The sequence below is a fragment of the Homo sapiens genome, chromosome 7, assembly GCF_000001405.40.
Source record: "Homo sapiens chromosome 7, GRCh38.p14 Primary Assembly".
Taxonomy (NCBI): domain Eukaryota; kingdom Metazoa; phylum Chordata; class Mammalia; order Primates; family Hominidae; genus Homo; species Homo sapiens.
Window position 1 is genome coordinate 26,059,556 of NC_000007.14, and position 23,004 is coordinate 26,082,559.

At 43.0% G+C, this 23,004-nt stretch overlaps 1 long non-coding RNA gene across 7 annotated transcripts in view, besides 1 other annotated feature; it reads right to left on the bottom strand.

The window, feature by feature from the left end:
- Nucleotides 1-23,004, bottom strand: part of LOC105375199 (uncharacterized) — a 191,528-nt gene that overhangs the window by 120,294 nt on the left and 48,230 nt on the right. For 3 of the 7 annotated variants that reach the window (XR_927122.3, XR_927117.3, XR_927116.3), the window contains exon 2: nucleotides 9,952-10,246. This is a non-coding gene — a long non-coding RNA (uncharacterized LOC105375199). Of the gene's footprint in view, nucleotides 1-1,987; nucleotides 2,143-9,951; nucleotides 10,247-13,131; nucleotides 13,321-23,004 lie in introns of those variants that run through there. The other 4 variants (XR_927114.3, XR_927113.3, XR_927119.3 and 1 more) reach the window with 3 other exon arrangements.
- Nucleotides 19,592-19,661: an enhancer, noted in NCBI's record as "active region_25777". NCBI's record gives its function as "activates an Ori minimal core promoter by ATAC-STARR-seq in GM12878 lymphoblastoid cells {active_cell/tissue: GM12878}" and the evidence as "EXISTENCE:reporter gene assay evidence [ECO:0000049][PMID:35858748]".

Here is a 23,004-nt window from a genome sequence, read left to right on the forward strand (position 1 = left end):
TTTATACATGCCTCCCTCGAGACCCTCATCCCTGTGTCCATTCAATTTTAGCAGTTTATGTACACGTCATATCCTCTTTTCAATCAGAAGTAACTCGAGGGCCCTCGCATTTTGGCTCGTATATACTAAGTACTCAGTAAACACCTTGGAAAATGAGTGAATGGCTGTTTAATACCTATTAAAATACAGAGACCAAACGTACACTCGCCCCTCCGGATCTCACTTGGGGAGCAGTGCCTTTGTGCTCAGGAGGGCTGCCATGTTCCTAAATACTTCGGAATACACAGAATTCTGGTATGCTTTCTAGAGACCAGATATACCCAAGCTTCAGCCCAATTTCAGTTTTTAAAAACAGGATCAAGAGGGCCAGATGTGGTGGCGCATGCCTGTGATCCCAGCATTTTGAGAGGCCTTGGAGGGCAGATCACCTGAGGTCAGGAGTTCGAAACCAGCCTGTCCAAAATGGTGAAACCCCATCTCTACTAAAAATACAAAAATTAGCTGGGTGTGGTGGTGCACACCTGTAATCACAGCTACTCAAGAGGCTGAGGCACAAGAGTGGCTTCAACCTGGGAGGCAGAGGTTGCATTGAGCTGAGATTTTACCACTGAACTCCAGCCTGGGTGACAGAGTGAGACTCTGTTTCAAAAAAAAAAAAAAAAACAAAACAAAACAAAAAACAGGATCAAGATTTACGCCTTCCTGAAGAAGTTGAGTCTGGGGTCACAGTCATTAGTATCATGCTTCATAATGACCTTAAGCCTCTTTCAAGTGTGTGATATTCTATTAGGTTGATGCAAAAGTAATTGCGGTTTTTGCCATTCTTTTTTTTTTAAAAAAAAGGCAAAAACCGCAATTACTTTTGCATCAACCTAATATATGCACAGTTTCATAAGCTCTCTGAGGGCAGGACTTCTGTCTATTCTGTTGATGTTATTGTTACCCACACACACTACCTTGTAAGGAAGTCTGCCCACACTGGGCAAACATTAACTATTGACTAAGCGTATCATTTTATTTTAACACAATTAGGAAGCCCTGCATTCCAAGGAACCCCTTTAGCCAAAAGCTGCTGAGTTAGGTCACCAGACTCAGCACACACCTTTTCTAATCTGCTTCTTCAGTCCCTATGAGCCATACAATGCATTCTCTCCTGCCTAGAGTTGGCAATTTCAATTATTTCTTTTCCAGAAAGAAATAAAAGTGTCTGGACTGAAATAGATTTCCCTGTTTGGAAACTAATGCAGTGAGGGGTCTATTTGTTACAAACACTGATAGGCAGCCTTCTCCACAGAGGTGAGCCGTCCTTTCCCATGGGCTCCTCTTTGCTCCTTCCTCTACAGGAATCCATCTACTCTGGTTCATGTACAGAAGGTTACTGTGGTTTTTCCAGGAAACTGCTGCCTGATGAGGGAGGCAAATTTTCTGTGTACAAATTTGAGGACCATTTGTGCAGAAACAGACATAAGTAACAGAATATAAGCCATATTAATGTTTTTATGACTATACTTGGGCCTTCTCAACAATGGTTAAGTGTTGCCAAACTAGCTTTACTTAGTGTTGGCAGGACAGGAGCTGTAATATATAGTTCTTTTTGTCTTGGCAATAAGTCTGGCACTCCTGCCAGAATCTACTCTAAAGGAAATGAACCAGAGACAATAAGTCCATTCAAATGCACTAGCGATTTCTTCCAGCAGGGATTTTTCAATTTCTAAGTTGATACAAATTTTAAAACCACCTATTTTAAGTAGGGAGTGGGAGTTTTATTTTCCAAAAGAAGATGTTATATTTACCAATGTATTTCTGACATCTGTCCGCAACAAGAAATATTATAGTGCCAGGTAATTGAGAAGGTGTCAGAACAAAACAAACATAAAACAAACAAAAACAGAGAGAGATGTATTCCTTTCAAAAGGATGTAAACACAAAATATAATTGATGGGCTTCATTCAGTCAGCCGTTTAATTTGCGGTGTTTAAGTACTTACATAAAATGACATTACTGCTGTGCTATTGTCTCGCTGGTTCCATGCATTTTATTTATGACCATGTGTCTTTGTGAGTGAATAAAAAAATGTGGAGTTGCTAGCAGCAAACCTTACACATTTCAAAACCCAAAACCAAGAAATCCTTGAAGGACCACCTATAAAAAAAAACTTTGTTAACACAAGGTTCAATATTTGCCTGGGTTGGCACAATCCTACTTGGAGGGGAAAAAGGAGGCGGATTTTTCTGGCTTTAGGAGGCGGGATTTCAGGTAAACCACTGTGAAGGTGCCTGTCTACGCCTCTGAATTCTAGAGCCTAGAGCCCCCTGCTGGCTGAAGGAGGAAGAGACCTGAATGGACCCGATGGCCATCATTTCAAACTCCTCATTTTCCCCCCAGGTCATTCATTCATGCAGCAAATATTCGTTGAGGCTTGCTCTGTGCCAGGCACTGTTCTAGGCTCTGGGGATAATCTGTTCAACAAAACATACAGGTCTTTGCCTTACTGGAGTTTACACTGCAAAAAAAGAATTCAAATGGCCGGACGCGGTGGCTCACACCTGTAATCCCAACACTTTGGGAGGCCGAGGCGGACGGATCACCTGGGGTCAGGAGCTCGAGACCAGACTGGCTAGCATTGCAAAACCCCATCTCTACTAAAAATACAAAAAATTAGCCGGGCGTGATGGTGCACACCTTTAGTCCCAGCTACACGGGAGGCTGAGGCAGGAGAGTCACTTGAACCCCAGGAGGCAGAGGTTGCAGTAAGCCAAGATCACGCCATTGCACCCTGGGCGACACAGCAAGACTTCATCTCAAAAAAAAAAAGGAAAAGAAAACCAAATAACCATAAACTATAATGTCACATAGAAATTGATACTAACAGATAAACTATGAATCACAGCACAGCAGGGAGAGGAAGTAAAGAGTGATGGGAGGATGATGTATTTTTAGACAGAAGAACTGAATAAATAAAATGAAGAAGAGGGAGAAATTGGTAGGAGGGGCTTCCAGGAAAGGGGCGGAGCGAGTGTGAGAGCTGGGCGGGGGTCAGGGAGTGCACGGAGCAGTTAGCAGTGCAGAAGGCCCCGGTAGCTGAGCGATGAACCGAAACTTAAAAATGAGCTGAGCCCAATGATGCGGAGCCTTACATGGTAAGAATTTTGGATTTTACAGTAATCCACGGAGAGGCTTGAACAGAGAATTAACTAAATTTGCTTTCCATTCTAAATAGACCATTCTGTGTGCAACAAGAACTAACTGCGAGTGTGAAATCTGAGAGGCCCATTTTGGAGGCTACTGCCATCATATTTCAAACAATTCAATCAATGAATTTCACCAAACTGAAATTCCTGCTGTTTACAACAAGGTTCAGAGAAGAATAAAATATCTTGGTCTCTGCCCTCAGAGAGCTTTCAATCAACTTGGGAAAATAAGATAGGCACACTTCAAATTAAACTTACGAGAGACAGTGAAGGATTGTTCTGGCTTGTACACAAGAGCAATAATAATGAAGATGAAAAAGGTGGTGTCACCAGCAGCCAAGCACCAGCTTGAGGCAGTTTAGCTTCATGGTTAAGAGCACAAGCGCTAGAGCCAGGCTGCTGGGGTTCAGAATTCTGGTGTCATTTACTAGCTGTGTGACCTCTGGCATGTGCCTTGGTTTTCTCTGTGCCTCAGTTTTATGACCTGTAGAATGGATCTAATAATAGGACCTTCCTTATAGGGTTGGTATGAGGAATAAATGTGTGTCAATGTTGTGTAGAAGGTGTTTACATCAGTGTTAGGTAATTTACCAAAACTACTCAAAAGGAAGAAATGTCTCCGAAATCATTATTACTGCAGTAGGTCAGATGTGGTGTGATAGTGACTTACATATCAGTTGTGGAAACAAAATAAAAGGGGCAGTATTTCTGGAAGGTTAACTTAGAAGGTTTGATGACAACAAGATGGTAAATGAAGCATACAAAGGGGTTCAAGATGAACATGAGATCTCAAGCGTAATGATTAGGAAAACAGTAGAAAGGAGAGAAAAAGAGAATTCAGGATGGGAAATTGGTTTGAGAGGCAGGGCAGGTTGGATTTCAGGCATACTGAGTTTGAAGTGGACAAGTGATTAGAAATGTCAGACTAGGGCTCAGAAGAGAGATCAAGGGTATCCTTATGGATTGGAACCTCTTCCTTTGGGGGCTATCTTTGAAGCCATGGAGATGACAGATAACTAAGACAGAAGTGGCTGAAAAAAAAGAGCTCTAAGAATGAAATTTAGGAGACATGACCATAGTTATGGATTAGAAAAGAGGCTGAAGAGGCCGGGCATGGTGGCTCATGCCTGTAATCCCAGCACTTTGGGAGGCCTAGGCAGGCGGGTCACCTAAGGTGAAGAGTTCAAGATCAGTGTGGCCAACATGGTGAAACTCCATCTCTACTAAAAAAAAAAAAAAAAAAAAAAAAAAAAATACAAAAATTAGCCGGGTACAGTGGCAGGTGCCTGTAATCCCAGCTACTAGGGAGGCAGAGGCAGGAGAATTGCTTGAACCTGGGAAGCGGACATTGCGGTGAGCCGAGATCACGCCACTGCACTCCAGCCTGGGCAACAGAGTGAGATTCTATCTCAAAAAAAAAAAAAAAGAAAAAGGAAAAGAGGCCAAAGAGAGGAAAGCATCAGAAAATCAGGAAGAGACATGTTATTTTAGCAAAAATATTGAGAAAGATGGAAAAGCCACTGTCAAACACTACTAAGAGATAAAGGATAACTAAGTATGCCTTTGGAGGAGATCATTAAGAAGTCATTGATGGGCCAGGCAGGTGGCTCATGCCTGTAATCCATCCCAGCACTTTGCGAGGCCGAGGCGGGTGGATCACCTGAGGTCAAGAGTTCGAGACCAGCCTGGCCAATATGGTGAAATGCTGTCTCTACTAAAACTATAAAAATTAGCAGAGTGTGATGGTGCCCGCCTATAATGCCAACTACTTGGGAGGCTGAGGCAGGAGAATCTCTTGAACCCGGGAGGCGGAGGTTGCAGTGAGCTGAGGTCAAGTTACTGCACTCCAGCCTGGGTGACAGAGCCAGACTCTGTCTCAAGGAAAAAAAAAAAAAAGTCATTGATGGCATCAAGAAAGAGTTTCTCAAGTGCAGCTTATCCTAAGGGTCTCTGCTAAATGTTTGTCATGAATGCTGTGCTGTGCCACCCAGATTTCTCCATCAGGACCCAAGGTGCTGTCTCCCCGGGGAGGGTTGTAAGCTGACAGCTCCCAGCGGCTCGGCTGAGGAAAGCCATCTTGCCCAAGGTCGTGCCCGCATCCTGGGGCAGCCTGCAGCAATGGCTGGTTGACTTCGGGGTATAAAAGCCCAGTTTCTTCCCAAAAAGGGACAACTCAAAAGGGCCATTCCAGGTTTCGAGCCATGGAGTCAGCTAGGGCTGAGTCACAACACACTGTGACTGCACTGCCGCCAGCCTCCCCTTCCCCACACAGCGTTGACGCCAGTGAGAAGAAAAGACCCCCAGGACACTTTAAGCAGCAATGCCAATCTCTGAGTCGGGATCTGCTTCCCCAGGAACCCAGAGGCCACAATGTATTAGAAAATTCAATAAAAATAAAAATGATAACATCAGGGAAGAGTTTTGGCACAAAGAGATCAATATAGCATTTAACAGGCCAGGTGCAGTGGTTCATGCTTGTCATCCTAGCAATTTGGGAGGCTGAGGCACGTGGATCACTTGAGTTCAGAAGTTCAAGACCAGCCTGGCCAACATGGTGAAACCCCCATCTCTACTAAATTACAAAAATTAGCCAGGAGTGGTGGTGCATGCCTGTAATCCTAGCTACTTGGGAGACTGAGGCACAAGGATCACTTGAACCCAGGAGGCAAAGGTTACGGTGAGCTGAGATCGCCCACTGCACTCCAGCCTGGGCAACAGAGCAACACTGTGGAAAAAAAAAAGAAAGAAAGAAAGAGAGAAAGAGAGAGAGGGAGAGAGGGAGGGAGGGAGGGAGGAAGGGAGGAAGGAGGGAAGGGAGAAAGAAAACACAAAGAAATAGTATTTAACAGATAAATAAAAATAGTTCCTTAGAAATAGAAATTCTGAAATTGAAAGGGTCAAATTGAGGGAAGTGAATAGGAATGGGCTTTTCTCCAGGACCCCAAACCTATCAGACTTGCAAAAAATGAGATGGTGCCATTTACCTTTGGTGAAAATAGAGTGCTGGGTTTCCTAACCCGATTGATGGTGCTGTCACCGTATAACCTCACAATCTCTTTTAATCTCTGCACTCTTGTCACTTTGCTGCCATCTGGAGAGAGGATTAATTTGATTTGTCCCCCAAGGAGATTAATGTATCTGATTGGATTCCAGCACACGGAGGGATACCATTCTCTAACCCATCAGCACTGTCCATGGCCAGGGTGCAAAAGCCCATCCCACTTCTCCCAAGAAAGAAGCAGCTCTGAGGATCCCGAGACACTGTGGAGATGATGCTTGCAAAGTTCACTTTCACATTGCGCTGTCTTTCTAGCCTTCCCAGTGTTGAAATATCTCTCCATACGCCCAGTGGACCTTCCCATAGCCTATGGGGGTGGGGCAGGGGAAATTCACTGCTTAAGAAAAAGAATGTTCTTTCATGCAACCAAATGTACTATCCAACCCCTCAGATGCTTGGAAAGGCAGGGATCATGCCTGTTTGTTTACCTCTGTACCCCAAGAAACCAGCAAAGTGCCTGAACACACAGAAAGTGCTTGATTGTTGAATAAATGATCTAAAAACTGGTGCTAGGTGGATCACGAATGAAGTAAAAGAAACAATCAGTAAATATAAATGATAAAGATGGCTAGAGACAGTTTGGCTCTGTGTAAATTATGACTAAGTTGGAGTCCTCTTCCGGTCACCTCAGTGAATGTCTCAGTGATCCAGTTGCCCATGGTAGATACTTAAGAAAAGCTCTTTGGACTGAATTAAACTACAATAAAACCTCATTGGTGGAAGCCCAAATAAAAAAGCATATTCATTGGTGCAAATACTTCAGAAGAAGGGACATTATTCATTATTCAGCACAAGGATATGAGAGTGACGAGGAAGAGAAAGACAGGGACAATTTTTAACAATGAGAAGAAAGGAATCCAAAGGTGGGGAGTCTAAGGAAAATGATCGATTATCCACATTAATGGAACTATTCGGTTTAAAGCTTCAAGAATTGGCCTGAGGGACCACCATGAAATTTGCTATCTCAATTAATCCTTGCAAAGTGAAAATAATACATGTTAGCTGTTCTCACCATTCTAAGGACTTTACATGTATCCTCATTTGATCCTCTCAAGAACTCTGTGTGTTAAGTTTGCCAGTACTGCCATCCCCATTTTACAGATGAGGAAACTGAGGTCTAGAGAACTTAAGTGACTTGCCCAAGGTGGCACAGCTGGTAAGTGCAGCCATGGGTCTTCGAACCTGGACAGTCTGACTCCAAGGCCATGCTCTTAACCTGTTCACTGTATCACCTCCTGCAAGGACAAACATTCCACCTTCTTTTCCCCTCTTCAACCCACAGGTAAGTTCTGTATTTCCTGGTTTTTAAACTCTAGAAAGAATGCTCTTGAAGAACAACCATATGACACTTTTTAAAGTGCAATTGATATTTAAGACTCTATCTCTACATTGAGATTCCTAAGAAATAGCATTTTTAATAATATAGATGTTTAAAACAAAACAATACAGAAAGTGGGCTGCATCTGAGGGTAATTTTTTTTTTTGTCTATTTTGTTCACAGCTAAATCCGTGGGCCTAGAATAGTGCCTAGCACATGGCAAGCTTTCAAAAATATTTGTCAAACTTGTGGTTGAACCAAAACAAGATATACAGAATCCCCTATATGGGTACTCCCACATAAACTTTATGGCACAATTGAGACTCCACCTCCAGGGCATGGTTTCTTGGGAGAACCCAAGTGGCTAAGTCTTGCCTTGTATTTGCCTTGTATTTTATATTAGAATCATCCTGTGAGGTAATTAACGCAGTTTTATGATGCTTAATCAAAGACACACAACTTGGCCGGGTACGGTGGCTCACACCTGTAATCCCAGCACTTTGGGAGGCCGAGGTGGGTGGATCACTTGAGGTCAGGAGTTCAAAACCAACTTGGCCAACATGGTGAAACCCTGTCTCTAGTAAAAATGCAAAAAAAAAAAAAAAAAAAAAAAAAATTAGCCAGGCATGGTAGCACACTCCTGTAATCCCACCTACTCAGGAGGCTGAGGCAGGAGAATCACTTGAACCCATGAGACAGAGGTTGCAGGTGAGCTGAGATCGTGCTACTGCACTCCAGCCTGGGCAACAGAGGGAGACTCTGTCTCAAAAAAGAAAGAAAGAAAAGAAAGAGAGAGAGATGGGGGGTGGGAAATTAAGGAAAGAAGGAAGGAAGGGAGGGAGGGAGGGAAGGACACATACACAGCTTGCTAAAACATGTCTTCTAGCAAAGATGCAAGTATAGTAAAAGTTTTCTTAGCACAATGTGTCCAAGTCTGATGTGTCCAAATTTGAGTTGCTTCATTAATTACTTGACAACTTGACAACTTTTTTTTGTTTTTTGGGGTTGTTTTGGTTTGTTTGTGTGTTTGTTTTTTGAGACAGTCTTCCTCTGTTGCCCAGGCTGCAGTGCAGTGGCACAATCTCTGCTCACTGCACCCTCCACCTCGCAGTCTCAAGTGATCCTCCAACCTCAGCATCCTGAGTAGCTGAGACTACAGGTGCGCAAAACCACGCCCAGCTAATTTTTGTATTTTTCGCAGAGAGAGGGTTTCACCATGTCTCTACAAAAAATTGGTTAGGCTGGTCTCGAACTCCTGGGCTCAAGCACTCCTCCCACCTCGGCCTCCCAAAGTGCTGGGATTACAGGTGTGAGCCACCGCACCAAGCCTTTATTTGTATTTTGAGGCAAGATTGCTTCATGGTTAAGAGGCATGGGCTGAATGACCAGGCCTGTGTATGTTTGTTAACCTCTCTGAGCCTTAGTTTTCTCATATGTAGAATTTAGGTAATTTATTAACATCTATATCAGTTAGGTTCTAACCAGGAAAAAAGAAACCACTCTAGGCATTTCAAAGAGGGCATTTAATATGTGGAACTGGTTCCCTAGGTGAGGGAAGAGTGGGGAAGCTAAATGGGATGGTGAGATGACCTGGATACGAGCTGCAGCAGGAAGCCACCACCATCCGTAGGGCTGCAGGGACAACCAGACAGAGCAGGTGGTGACAGCAGAGCCCAAAAGCCAGGGCTACTGGGCACTGGGTCCATAGGGGAGACACAGCTGCTCCTGGAGTCAGCACTGGCATCAGCACAGGAAAGGGATAAATGCCCTCACATCTTCCCTCTTCCTGCCCTCCAGCCTCTGCCAGCGCCTCTTATTGGCTGAACCTAATGAGAAGCCAGGGAGCCTGGGAAATGTGATGGCTGTGGTACAGAGCAGAGCAGGAAAAGGGCAGAGATGGACCTGAGAGCAAATGAGCAATTCACCAGCTCAAGACCTCACTGGGCTGTCATGAGATTTAAATGGGTTACACATGTGCTGAGCACTCCCCGCCGGCACGTCATGGTGCTTAATGAAAGTTATTATTGTTATTATATGTAACAGGCCCTGGGCTGGACATGGGTAACAGAAAAGACGTAGACTCTACTACCAAGTAGCAACCAGTCAAATCACTGTAGCCCATTTGTTTTTTAGCAATGACCCATTCCGTGGGCCTCTAGTGTGAACCTTCTAGCAGTCTTTATCCCCCCATATTGATACAGGTGACCAACTTCGGAGTATGCATATCAACCATCAGCATCAATGGTGACCAAGAAAAACAGGCTAACATTGACCTATAAGTGTTTACTCTTCCAGAATAAAAGGGGTCCTTAAAAATGCAAAATATTTTATGTAAGATACAAAATGATCTGTCAATAAAACAGGCACTGACTCCATCATCTTACCTGATAAAGGATTGATTTAGTGAGTGTGTCATTTATGCAGCTGATTGCGTGTCTAGCTTTAAGGTATTTGATGATTTCCTAAAAAGACAATGGCTTTACAACTAGAAGCCCATTTTAAGAAAGATTTTCTCAAATCAGAGAGGTTCCTCACACGGATGACATGAAACCTTGGATGAAGCGTTCATGAGTCTGGTCACGAGCAGAGTCAACGGGTGCTGCCAATTAGAGGCCAGGAAATCTTGTCTCTCCATCTCTTCATTTTTATCCCTGGCCTTGGAGTCGCCAAATATTAGTTCTGGAATCCAAAAAACACATTCGCGTGCCTAACATGTAGAAATTACTCCAAACCACCAATGCCAATTACTGCTAATATTCATAGCTAATAGAAAGATAAAGTGGAAATTGAGATAGTGACTTCACCCTGGCAGTTGGGCCCAGCTACACCAGGAAAGCACTGGCTATTCCTTGGCTTCTCATCCTGTCTCTATCTACTCAAGGAGATACAGAAAATTGGCTGTGAGGAAAAATTATACTCTTTACTGTTGGAGTAATAATGCTATCTTAAATATCAAGCATCCTGGAGCATTTTAATTAGGTGGGAAGATACCAGAAGGCATCATCTGTATCTTCTGTAGGACGACTAAATGAAATAGCTGGGAGCTTTAAGTTCATCTTTAAAGAACATGAATGAAAATAATATTTTATATGGAGAAATAAAGGGGAAAGATGGAGTGAGATCCCAAAAATTACACATAAAATTGAGCTGGATTAATGGTCTCTTTCCTATACAAAGTGAATTGGTTTGACAGCTCAATGAGTCAGAAGTCACCATAGGTTTAAGACAATGGAATGACTTTGCCATTCTCAATGCTGATCAAAAACCTTTCAAAAAGCATATTTCCTGGACACAACAAATTTCATTCTAATTTTGTTTCCTGGTTCTGTCTTTCTGATCCTCGGTATAAATGATGTCACCATTCCCATTAGTTAGGCATGAGGTACTGCCAACCCATAATTACAAATGCCTCCCCCCGGCATTCTGTTACATTGAGCTGTCAGTGAGTTTCATCTCCAAATTGTAATGGCACTATTTGCTTTATTTGGTCTTAGGTGATGTAGGATGGATGCCCTTCTAAACAGCATGTGCATTTAAGATGGCAGAGCAAGAATGATTTATATGGGGAATAACTCCTTAGTCTGTCAAAGACCTGGCAGAATCTTTCTGGGAAACTAATTGCAGCCAGTTCCTTCCCCAGCTCGGAGGTGAACTATTGGCATCTCTGCCAGCCATCATAAGATACAATCTACCAGCCATAAGAAGAGAGGAAACCAGATCTCTCATTCTCAACACTGGTACATGCCTGATAATGCTGTTTCTCAAAAGCCAATTATTGAGATTTAAATGTCCCCTATACAAACATTCACCATTTTCTTTTGATCCTACAAAAATCACATCACCTTTCTGAACTACTTATGGTGCATACAAAAATCATTTTTACTCTACAGTCATGCTGTGAGCTGCTGTGAATGTCAGGTCTGTGATGCCCCTGTATTCTCATAAAGGGCATAGAGCGGGCTGAGAATTCAATGGGAAAGGGTAAGGAAATTATCTGTCCTCAACATCAGAGACGCTTTGCCCTGAGTTCAGAGTTGTCCTGTCCACTGAATGTTCTCCCTACTCTCCTTATCATGGTTCCTTCTCCTTTGCTTCTTCTCCTGGACCACTGTTTGAATGAGATACACACTGAACTCCTTGTTTGTCCTCTAACGCCACAAAACCAAGGCTAAAGAAAGGGGCACAGTGCAGAACATGTCTCCCTGGAAGACCCAGAGATGTCCCAACATCCCTGGGAGAGGCCCAAATCCAATCTTGTCTCATTATCCAGACCAGTAGTTATCAGTGGGGGTGACTGTCCTTCAGGAAACATTTGCAATGTCTGAAGACATTTTTAGCTGCTACAACTGGGGGTAAAGGGCATTACTGGCATCTAGCGGATGGAAACCAGGGATTCTGCTAAACATCCTACTATGCACAGAACAGGCCCCATAGCAAAGAACTGTCTGACCCCAAATGTGAATAGTGCTGGGGCGCCTATAGTCCCAGCTACTTGGGAGGCTGAAGTAAGAGGATCACTTTAGCCCAGAGAGTTTGGGGCTGCCCTGGGTAACAAAGCAAGACTCCATCTCTTTTTAAAAAGTCAGTAATGCCAAAGTTGAGAAACCCTGATCTAGATTTTAATCAAGGAGAGGGTTTAGGCAAGTAGCTCTCTCTTCCAGTTGGCACCAATCCCGCATGGAAGCCACACCCCAGGCAGAAGCTCTGTTTAGGCCCCACATTTGCCTGATTCAGCACATCACACTTTAATCATGTAATTCAATTTTTCCTAATTTTTTTAATGTTATTTAGGCCCTTTAATATAATTTGGCAAGCTATTATAGTTGTTACAGCTGCTAGTTCTGCCCTCAATACTGATTTCACTTATGACCTCAGCTGGAATAAGATTTAAAGTTTGAGATGATGTAAGTGAATAAGGATTATTAGATTTATTCGTATGGCAATTTAAATAAGAAACTGCCTGGCTTAGAATAAGTGGTAAATGAAAAATGCTAGTGATTTATAGACCTGTCCATTTTAAAGATTTATATGATGTGTGGGATGATTAAGTAAGAGACAGGCCTGATTATATGAAATATGTAATTTTTGTAAATGCGATATTGGAAGCAAGCTGCTAAACAGTGCTGCATAGCAACTCTCGGCTAAGCCATTTTTATTACACAATTATTATAAACTGGTATGCAGAGTCATGTGTGAATTACACACAGAGTCCTTGCTCTAATTCTTTTTAGCTGGATGGGAGCATGTTCATAGGAAATGCATCTAAAACTTCAGCCTTGAAACATCAGTCCCATTGGTACCCCAAAAGGCAGGGCAGACTGGGGATTTCAGACCTGCATCAGTGACTGTCAGGCTTTGAGCAATGCTCTCCTTCATAAAGGGCATGGCCACCATGCCCAGGTCTCAGCACTTCAACTTATGAAATGGAGATGCTCCATCTGTCATATTTTAGTGATACACTTTAGGGAAAAACGACAGCAGTCAGAAAAAGAAACGTAAGACATCGTGACATAGTTTCCTTCCCTCAGTTCAAATACTCCCCTCATCAAGGTAGCACATAGTACCTGAAAACTCAGAGAGCCCAGGGTGATTCACCCAACTCAGGTCAGGTTGCTGCCCCCTTTCCAGAGCCTCAGAATCCTGTGGAGAGAGTTGAGACCAGGCGCCTCCCTGAGGTTTTGGATATAGTCCCAAAGTCAGCCCTAGGATTGCCATAGAGGAATGAGCGATGGTTCAGTTCTTATCTATCTCTCAGGAGTGGAGAATATGTAAGCAATGTTAATATTTAAGTTATTTTGACAACTGCTTGGTACAAACAAAAAACAGAACAAAGCACCTGTCTTAGGAGAGTAGAGAGACCTGGTAGTAGTCAGATTTCTTCCAGAAACTGAGTGTAGGACTTGGTAAGGTAAATTGCCTGCCTCTTTAAACTCAGAGTTGTTAGAACTCCTTTAGCCACATCTCAGGGCTGGTAGGAGGGGTTAAGGGGATAAATGAAAGGAGAGCCCTTTCGAAAGCATAGGGCAAAGCTTCAGAAGACAAAATGGAGGTCAAAGCAGAAGCAGGAAACACCGTCATTCAACAGACATTTATGGCGGCCCTGGAACCCTGCTAGGGCCTAGGGTTGCCAAGAGGGGCAAGCCACCAAGCTCTGGGACGCCCAGGGCTGAGTGTGAGGATGATCTAAACTCTAAATCTGCAGTGTTTACACAACAGATTAAGTGCTGAGGGTGAGCTTAATTCAGCTGGGGGGTGGGGGCTGTGGTAACAAAGTAGAAAACTTCACAGAAGAAATAACATTTAAACCAGCTCTTACAGAATGTGGAAGAATTAGAGAAACAGAAAGAAGCTTCTAGTCCACCCAGATGTAGAACCAAACTGCCCCTGAGCCCACCGTGAGAAGGAGAGGAAAATTACCAGCATGCATTCGGTTTGATATCAGGAACCGGAAACACACATTCAAGCTTGTGGAGGAGAGTGACAGAATGTTCTGCGGGTCTCGAAACTTCCAAGGCCGGTAGGGATCAGAAACTCTTAAATTCTTGAAATTTAGTATCCATCATAAAATATGTGGAATTGTTAATGAATTATAACAATTATACTTCTTTCTCTGATAGAATGTGTAATTTACTAATCAAATATAATATTAACTTTTAGCATGCCCATGAGTTTTAATAAATAATCCCCAATATAGTGATTTTATTTTTATTTACTTATCTATTTTATAAAAACAGGGTCTCCTTCTGTCACCCAGGCTGGAGTGCTGTGGTGCAATCATAGCCTTGAACTGCTGGGCTCAAGTGACCTTCCCACCTCTGCCTCCCAAGTAGCTAGTATAGGCATGTGCCACCACACTTGGCTAATGTTTAAAAATTGTTTCTAGACATGGGGTCTCACTGTGTGCCCAGGATGGTCTCAAATTCCTGGCCTCAAGCGATCCTCCCTCCTCAGCCTCCAAAAACACTGGGTTTACAGGAGTGAGCCACCGTGCCCAGCCAACATAGTGATTTTAATAAGATAAGTATTTTATTTGACTTAAACAGTAAATGTTTTGGTCCAGAGTCCTGATAAACTGATTAGTATTTCTGAAAGATGCATGCTGCCCATCTTCATTAAATGTGATAGCATGAAGACAGAATTTTATTTAAGCCAAATGAATTGCTGTTTTGTTTTGTTTTGTGTTGTTTTTGAGACATAGTCTCATTCCATCACCCAGGACTACAACCTCCACCTCTTGGGTTCAAGTGACTCTGATGCCTCAGCCTCCCCAATAACTGGGCTTACAAGCGCACACCACTATGCCCGGATAATTTTTGTATTTTTAGTAGAGATGAGACTTTACCATGTTGGCCAGGCTGGTCTTGAACTCCTGGGCTCATGTGATCTGCCCGCCTCAGCCTCCCAAAGTGCTGAGATTAGAGGCATGAGCCACTGCACCTGGCCATTTGAATTGATTTTTTTAAATTCAAAAATATCTAATCTGTTAGCTCAAAATTTATTTTAATAACCCCAAAATCTATGTCCAGTTTCTCCAAGATGAAGGCAATAACAAAAGGAACCCACACTGTCAAATTATGGCTATCTGCACTCAGAAAAGAGAAATATTTTTAGTTGCCAACTGAAGACATTGCATGGAGCAAAAATTATAGGTCAAAAGAGAGAAGAGCAAATTAAATAATAAGATGCATTTGTTTGAACTTCATCCTCATTCCTTTTTTAAAACCTACTTATCAGAGAAAGGTAGGGTTTAGATTTATTTCCTAACTACTACATTAATAGATACCCTAACACTTTCCTGATCAGTTTTATGAATTGATTAATAAGGCAATCATGGTTTGGGAAAGCTTTTATATGCCACCTGATATTGATGCCATCTATAAAAAGACAACCAACCGAGCACCTGATATCCAGTAAAGGCAGGTTCAAAAATTGCAGTCTTAGAAAGATAATGGAGTGACCATGACCTCAAGTACTTTGAGCCAAATAGCAACTGTCAACTCCTGATAGCAGTATTTGACCTCAGAGGCACGTGACAGCAACCAACCTGAAACAGCCATTTTCTCAAATTCTGTTAAGGATAATAAACCATGATAGGGGAAATCACCTGCCCTAGTAAGGAAACCTCTTGTAATCAATGACCTAGAAACGGGCACCATGATTTGAGCAGAAAGCAGGTGGAGGAACTGCGGGAATGTGCTGCTTTATATTGAGGGTCCACTAGATTTTGGCACGGTTGTTTTTGTTGTAGTTATTTTGCTTTGTTTTGATCATTTTTAGTTCATCTCCTGAAAAATCTCAACATACATAAAAGTAGACAGAACAGCATGATAAGCCACCATCTACCGACCAGGCAGCTCCAACAATTACCAAGGCAGTGGTGCCACTCTCGTTCCCTCTATACTCAGACATCATATCATCTCATCCGTAAATTTGAAATAAATATTTAAGTGCATATTTCTAAAATATTTACATACACATTTCTAAAAATAAAGACCTTTTAAAAACCAATCCAAAACCATTATCACTACTAAAAAAAATTGACCAGGTGTGGTGGCTCATGCCTGTAATCCCCGCACTTTGGGAGGCCATGGCAAGCAGATTGCCTGAGAAAAGACCATCCTGGGCAACAGAGTGAGGTCCTGTCTCAAAAAGAAAAAAAAAAACAAAAAAGACGACTAAAAATTAACCATAAGTCTTTAATTGTATCAAGTGTCCAGTCAATGTTTACTTTTCCCAGTTGTCTCCTAAATGGACCTGTCCACATGTGGCAGTTGGCTGCCATCCCATTGACATTATTTTAATCTGAGGTTCCCTCCCCACACACTTTTTCTGGCTATTCCCTTACTGAAGACATTGAGTCATTTGTTCTAGGGGTTCCCACGTTCTGGGCTGTGCCGCCTGTGCCCTATTGTTTTCTGAGAAGTGGTAGTTACACGGAGGCTTGAATAGATATGGGCTTGATGTTTTGACAGGACAGCTTTACTGGAGGGGTCATGTTCCTCCACCAGAAGTGCCATGTCTCCTTTCATGATGTTATTGGCCATTATGATCAATGGGCTCTGATAATATAATATAAGCTGTTAGAAGAAAACCATTGAACCAAAACATTCAGAAGGTTTTGTTTAAAAAAAAAACACACTAAAATCCTTTTTCTCTGTGGTAGGCACTGTGTTTTCCTGCACATAGCACCTCATTTAATCATTCTAACACCCTCATGAGGTGCTGATGGGAGCAGATTTGAACCCAGCCAGTGAGCCTCCAAAGCTCATTCTCTTAGCTACCACAGAAGCAGATCGCCTTGAGAGTCTTATCTTATGGGCCGGCTGCAAAGGAGAAGCCCCTTTTGACTTAGGTAGCATGAATAACTGAAAGAGGTAGAAGTGAAGCAGTAACCAAAAAAATGGTTGAATCTTAAAACACAAGGTATACATTCCTATAAGACTGATCAAAACACCAAGTGGGCCAGACACGGTGGCTCATGCTTGTAATCCCAGCACTTTGGGAGGCCGAGGCAGGTGGATCACCTGTGGTCAGGAGTTGGAGACCAGCTTGGCCAACACAGCTTAACCCCGTCTCCACTAAAAATACAAAAATTAGCTGGGTGTGGTGGCAGGTGCCTGTAGTCCCAGCTACTTAGGAGGCTGAGGCAGAAGAATTGCTTGAACCTGGAAGGCAAAGGTTGCAGTGAGCCAAGATAATACCACTCCAGCCTGGGCAACAGAGAGAGATTCCGTTTCAAAAAGTGACTGTTTATTAACTGGCGAACGCAATCATCTGAAGGGCGTGTCATCTGACAGAGGAGGCAAGTTGGACTGCAGTCACAGTGTCATCTTGGTACAGGCATGGAAACAGAGGCTGAGGAGGTCCCAGACAACCTTCATCAAATAGGGCTGAAATAGCACTCCGAATGTCACCAAAGTGAGTAGAAGCCATGATGCTCTGTTTAAAGTTTGCTCTGCCCTTTGCTCAAATCAACTTAGAGTTATGTTACCCACTCTTGGTGGGAAGGGTTGCCAAAATTAGAGTCATTTCATTAATCTCCCAGGCCAGGGAGAGGTGGTTATATATCACTCCAGGTTACGTTGGCAGCAGGATAATCATTGCATTTCCGTAGTGCATAAAGCAGTATTTCTTTCCATTCATTTGCTATCAGAGTCTCTATAAAAACACCTTAGAACTAAAATATGTTTCTCGGTCCTTTAGATTTTAACAAGACTTCCTTCAAGACGAATATTTTTGAAAAATTCCAAAGTATGAAAAGTATGGAAGCTTCATTTCAAAGGACATCTCTAAACAAATTTTTTAAATTAATATTTTTACAAAATGATTGTCTCATTCCTAACAGGGGAAGGCACCTTGTGATTAAAAGGAAGAAGAAGAGAGGGAAAGGGAGAAGGAAAGATGGAACACAGGAAGAAGAAAGGAAGGAAGGGAAGGAAGGAGGAAGGGAGGGAAGGAGGGAGAGAGGGAAAAAATGGCTTAAAATATTTAGAATGTATTTAGAATATTTTTATTACAGTATTTAGGGAATTTAAATGTGTCAAAAACAAAATAAAACTGAGAGAAACCAAAATTAAGTATGTAGGTAGAAAGTGATGTTTTGTCACTAAATGTATTTTTGAAAATAAAATCGGGGGCCGGGCACGATGGCTCAGTGCTGTAATCCCAGCCCTTTGAGAGGCCGAGGCAGGCAGATCACTGGAGCCCAAGAGTTTGAGACCAGCCTGGACAACAGGGTAAAACCTCGTCTCTACAAAAAATACAAAGAAAATTAGCCGGGCGTAGTGGTGCATGCCTGTAATCCCAGCTACTTGGGAGGCTGTGGCATGAGGATTGCTTGAGCCTGGGAGGCAGAGGTTGCAGTGAACTGAGATAGCACCACTGCATTCCAGCCTGGGTGACAGAGTGAGACTCTGTCTCAGAAAAGGAAAGAAAAGAGCCAAGCAAATTTAAAATTTCTTCTTCCTAGATCTTTCTCTCTCAGTTCACTGTAAATCACTGTGTATTTGTTTAGGATTCTAAATAGACCATAGGTAATTTATAAGTTCTCATGGAATCTTCTGAACTTTTTTAATGGTGTTTACCAACAAGAAACTGTGTCATATAGTAGAGATTTCTGTAAGCTGTCCTCTGAAACAGTATTCCTTCCCAATTACTTTTTAAAACAATGTGAAATCCATTATGTTTGATACAAAAAAAAAATTCTAAAAAATTGAGTGAGGTATTAAAAAAAAAAAAAAGATCTATGGCCAGGAGCAGTGGCTCACACCTATAGTTCTAACACCAGGAGGCTGAGGTGGGAGGATCCATCGTGATCAGGAGTTCAAGACCAGCCTGGGCAACATAGGCAGACCCTCCCCACCTCCCCCACATCTCAACTAAAAAAAAAAGTAGCCGGGCATGGTGGCACACACACCTGCAGTCCTAGTTACTTGGGAGGCTATGGTGGGAGGCTTGCTGGAGCCAGGGAGTTCCAGGCTGCAGTGATCTGTGATCTCACCATTGCACTCCAGCCAGGGCAACAGAGCAAGATCCTGTCTCAAAAAAAAAATTAAAATTTTCTTAAAAACTAGCAACAAGATCTAGAAGTGAATGTACTGTAAAATAAAAATCAGAGTAAGGGAATAAAGTCAAGAGACTTGCGCTATCATCATTTTACAGCTGTTACTGGCAGGAATAAATTGTTTACATTGCCCAGTTCCACATCTTTGATTCTTCCAGCTCACATAACTCATTATTTTACAAGGTGTTTCTGTAACAACTCACTAAACAGTAGTCCTTGCAAACAGTTCTGCTGCTCTGTAATCCAAGATTTTGGATAACATAATTTTAACATAAACATAATTTCAATAAAACTAAAGAGCTCTTTACTGTGCACTGAACAAACTACTCAGGCAGTAGAGGTCTCGCCAACAATGCAACAGACAAAGCAAAGCCGGGATGGCTCAGGCAGGGGGCGCGCGGATCACTCACTGCAGACAAAGGGAGAAGGACCCGACGCGCCCACACCGCCCGCGCATGCCCTGTGCCCGCGGGATCAGGTGTAGCGGGGTAACAGTTGAAAGCGCACAGACAGCTGGAGTTAGCTGGAGTAGCCCTGCTACTCAAGCTGTGTGGTTTGGGGCAAGTTGAGTAATCCTTCTTAGCCTCGGTTTTCCCATCTGCCGCATGAAGAAAATGCCACCTTGCAGAGTTACTGTGAGGACTAAAGAGATAACCCACATACATCTTCTTAGTTCTGCTGTCGATGCTCAATAATAAATGGTATCTGTTATTACCATATGCCATCCCAGCTCCCATCATCATCCCCAATAGGCAAGGGACATCACCACAGTGACACAGCTGTGCTTAGACCAAGGATGCAGAGAATTAAATGGAAATAAATTGAAATAATACCCATCCCTCTTTAGATGCTCTTCTAGAATTTGGGCTGTCTGGAAGTGGGCTACTGTAAGTGGGTTATCCACTCATGTGCCTAATCCTGCCTGTGTATTCAAGGCTCCCTTCCTCTGTTCAGGCAAGAATAGAAATTGGAATCTGTGAGTAGTAAGTGAAGACGAGTCTAGAAAAAGCAGCATGGGGTGAATGGAGCCACCACACTGTTCAGTGGCAGAAAGTCTGAATAGACAGCTCCAAGCTCAGAACCATCCACAATTTCATTATTAGGCTTAACATTCTGTGTTAATCAATCCATCCTAAAACCCCCACCTCTGAGGCAGACACAGAGGCCAAATATAACACAACCCACATACCATCCAATTCAGGATGTTGTTCAAATATTGATGAGTTTCAAACCCTCTAACAATATAAAGTATTATAAGCCACATCTAAAAACCAAACTTGACCTTGGAGGGAGAAAACAGCCAAAGACAGATATGTATTATATAAATTTCCTTTCTGAAGCTACAGGGAAATGTCAAATCATCACAGTTTATTTATTTTACTTTTTTTCTTCCCCAAAAAAGGAAAAGGAAAATTCTGGAATTTAAAAAATCAAAGAGAATAAAAATACAACAGTACATTCTATTGTTCTCCAGGTCCAAAAGTACATGCATATACTTAGCTGGCGAAAGAAAGAAAGGAAGGAAGGAAGGAAAGGAGGGAAAGAAAAGAAAAGAAAAGAAAAGAGACTTTGACAAAGAAAGGCATTTCCCTGGGAATATTCTACCTCTGGGAGGACAGTGGTCAGGCATTTCTTCTATCTTGCTATTCCTTGAGCACAGTCCTGCCAAATATCCTCCTTTCACCATTTGCAGTTACCATGAGAAAACCACAGAGAAAGCTCTGGACAGCCATGGAGTCTTAGCTGGATCTACAATAAAAGGAGTCAGGTACCCTCCCACCTTCCCAGAAAGACTGTGCTGGGGCTCAGAAAACAACACCCCAAAATGAAGCCCTCAGCAGCAGCCTCAGAAGCAAATGATTTTCTCTGACCTTCTCTTGCCCTCCTGTCTCTCAGTCCCATTCTCCTCGGAGGCTAGCCATAGAAACCAGAAGCCTTTTCCAAAGCCAGCCATAAAACCTAAAAATATTAGTTTAACTTTCCCTCCACCCTATCTGTATAAAAACTGGCCATATGGGCTGGGCACGGTGGCTCATGCCTGTGATCCCAGCACTTTGGGAGGCCAAGGCGGGAGGATCACTTGAGGTCAGGAGTTCAAGACCAGCCTGGCCAACATGGTGAAACCCCATCTCTACTAAAAATACAAAAATTAGCCAGGCGTTGTGCCTCACGCCTGTAGTCCCAGCTACTGAAGAGGTTGAGGCAGAAGAATTGCTTCAACCCGGGAGGCGGAGGTTGCAGTGAGCTGAGATCGTACCACTGCACTCCAGGCCGGGCAATAGAGCAAGGCTCTGTTTCAAATAAATAAATAATAAAAATTAAAACTGGCCATAAATAAATAATCTGACCTACCCTGTTTGATAGTAGGTCATAAGACCCCCATTCCAGAGAGGGTCCTGCCCCACACCCAGAAGGAAGAAATGTGCGCTCAGAGAGGCCAGGGAGAATCTAGACAGGCAGCTCTTGCTGGGCTTCCCCACTCATTCTATTAGACTTAGATCTATGCTTTTCCTCCAATCATATTCCCATATGGCTGTCCATATTTTGTTGAACCTAAGCATAAAAATGGACAATTTCCCCTGTATCTTTGAGTCTTCATGCTGAAGGCTCCTGTGAATGCACGTTAAATAAGCGTATATGCCTTTTCTCCAATTAATCAACCTGCCTCATCTCAGTGATTTTCAGCAAACCTTTACAGGACCAAGAGCCTTGGCCCCCACAACTATGACATGGGATAAAAGTAAACTTCTACATGCAGATGAATTTGGTAGGCTCAGAAACATATACATAATTAACACAAGATTAAGTGTCCGTAATGGATATTTGGGGAGGGGGCAGAGGGAAAACAATCATAAGACACAGGAAAGCTCAGGGATATAAAACAGCTCAGGGAACACGTGCCCCTTTGAGAAGGCAACTTTCTGCTTCTCTGCTGTGTCCGGGAGTTCAGAGTCTCAACCACATACAGTTCTTAAGGACCACCTGATACAACTGAAAAGACCTTGGAGCTGATGCAACCTCTTCCCACGGGGTGCCTGCCACAGAGATGAGTGCCTGGAGTGGCTGTCACCTCCAGGGAACTCTGAGTGGGCCAAGGAAGGAAGTCATCCCCTCCTCCATTCAACTCATTAATCACAGCTGTTAGGTAAAGAGCCCCTAGGGGTTCCCACAGTATAGCAATAGCCTTTCCCTACCTACAGCCAAGCCTAGTCCAAAGGTCTTGGAGGCCCTGGGGCTCTTGGTCAGGGCCAGCCTCCCAGGCTCTGTTCAGTATGACTGTAAGAGTGATAAGAATCTCTCTGCGCAAAAGTTCCTTCTTCCACACCCCCCAAATGCACAACACCCATCTTCCCAGGCTAAATGCTCCAGAGTTCTATCTTTGAATTGCCCTGTCCAGAAACCTCCTTTAAAATGCAAATACACATAATAGAGATTTTGAAAAAGCACTTTAGCTTATACCAGTTCTCTAAGGAGATAGGAGGCTGGGGGAAGAGGCAGGAAGGAAAACTGCCTAGGAAGGGGCAGTCTAAGTAGGGGTCCAGGAGAGGCGCTGAGCAACCCAGGAGAGCAGGCTGACTCTGAGGTTGAAGGGGGGATTCAGTGGAAAGTGATTTCTTTAAAAAGGAACATCCAGCGTGAGACTTAGACCCTGGCTAACGTCCAGAAGGATCTAGAATAGGATGGGGAGTCCTCTTACAGTGATCATTTCATTCTCGCATAATTTGTCCTATTTTCAATGATCTAGATCAGGGCTTGGCAATCTATGGCCTGCAGCCAAGTCTGGTCCAGCATCTGTTTTGTACCTATAAGCTAAAAATGGTTTTTACCTTTTTAAATGATGGGAAATCAAAAGAAAAATAATATTTCATGACAA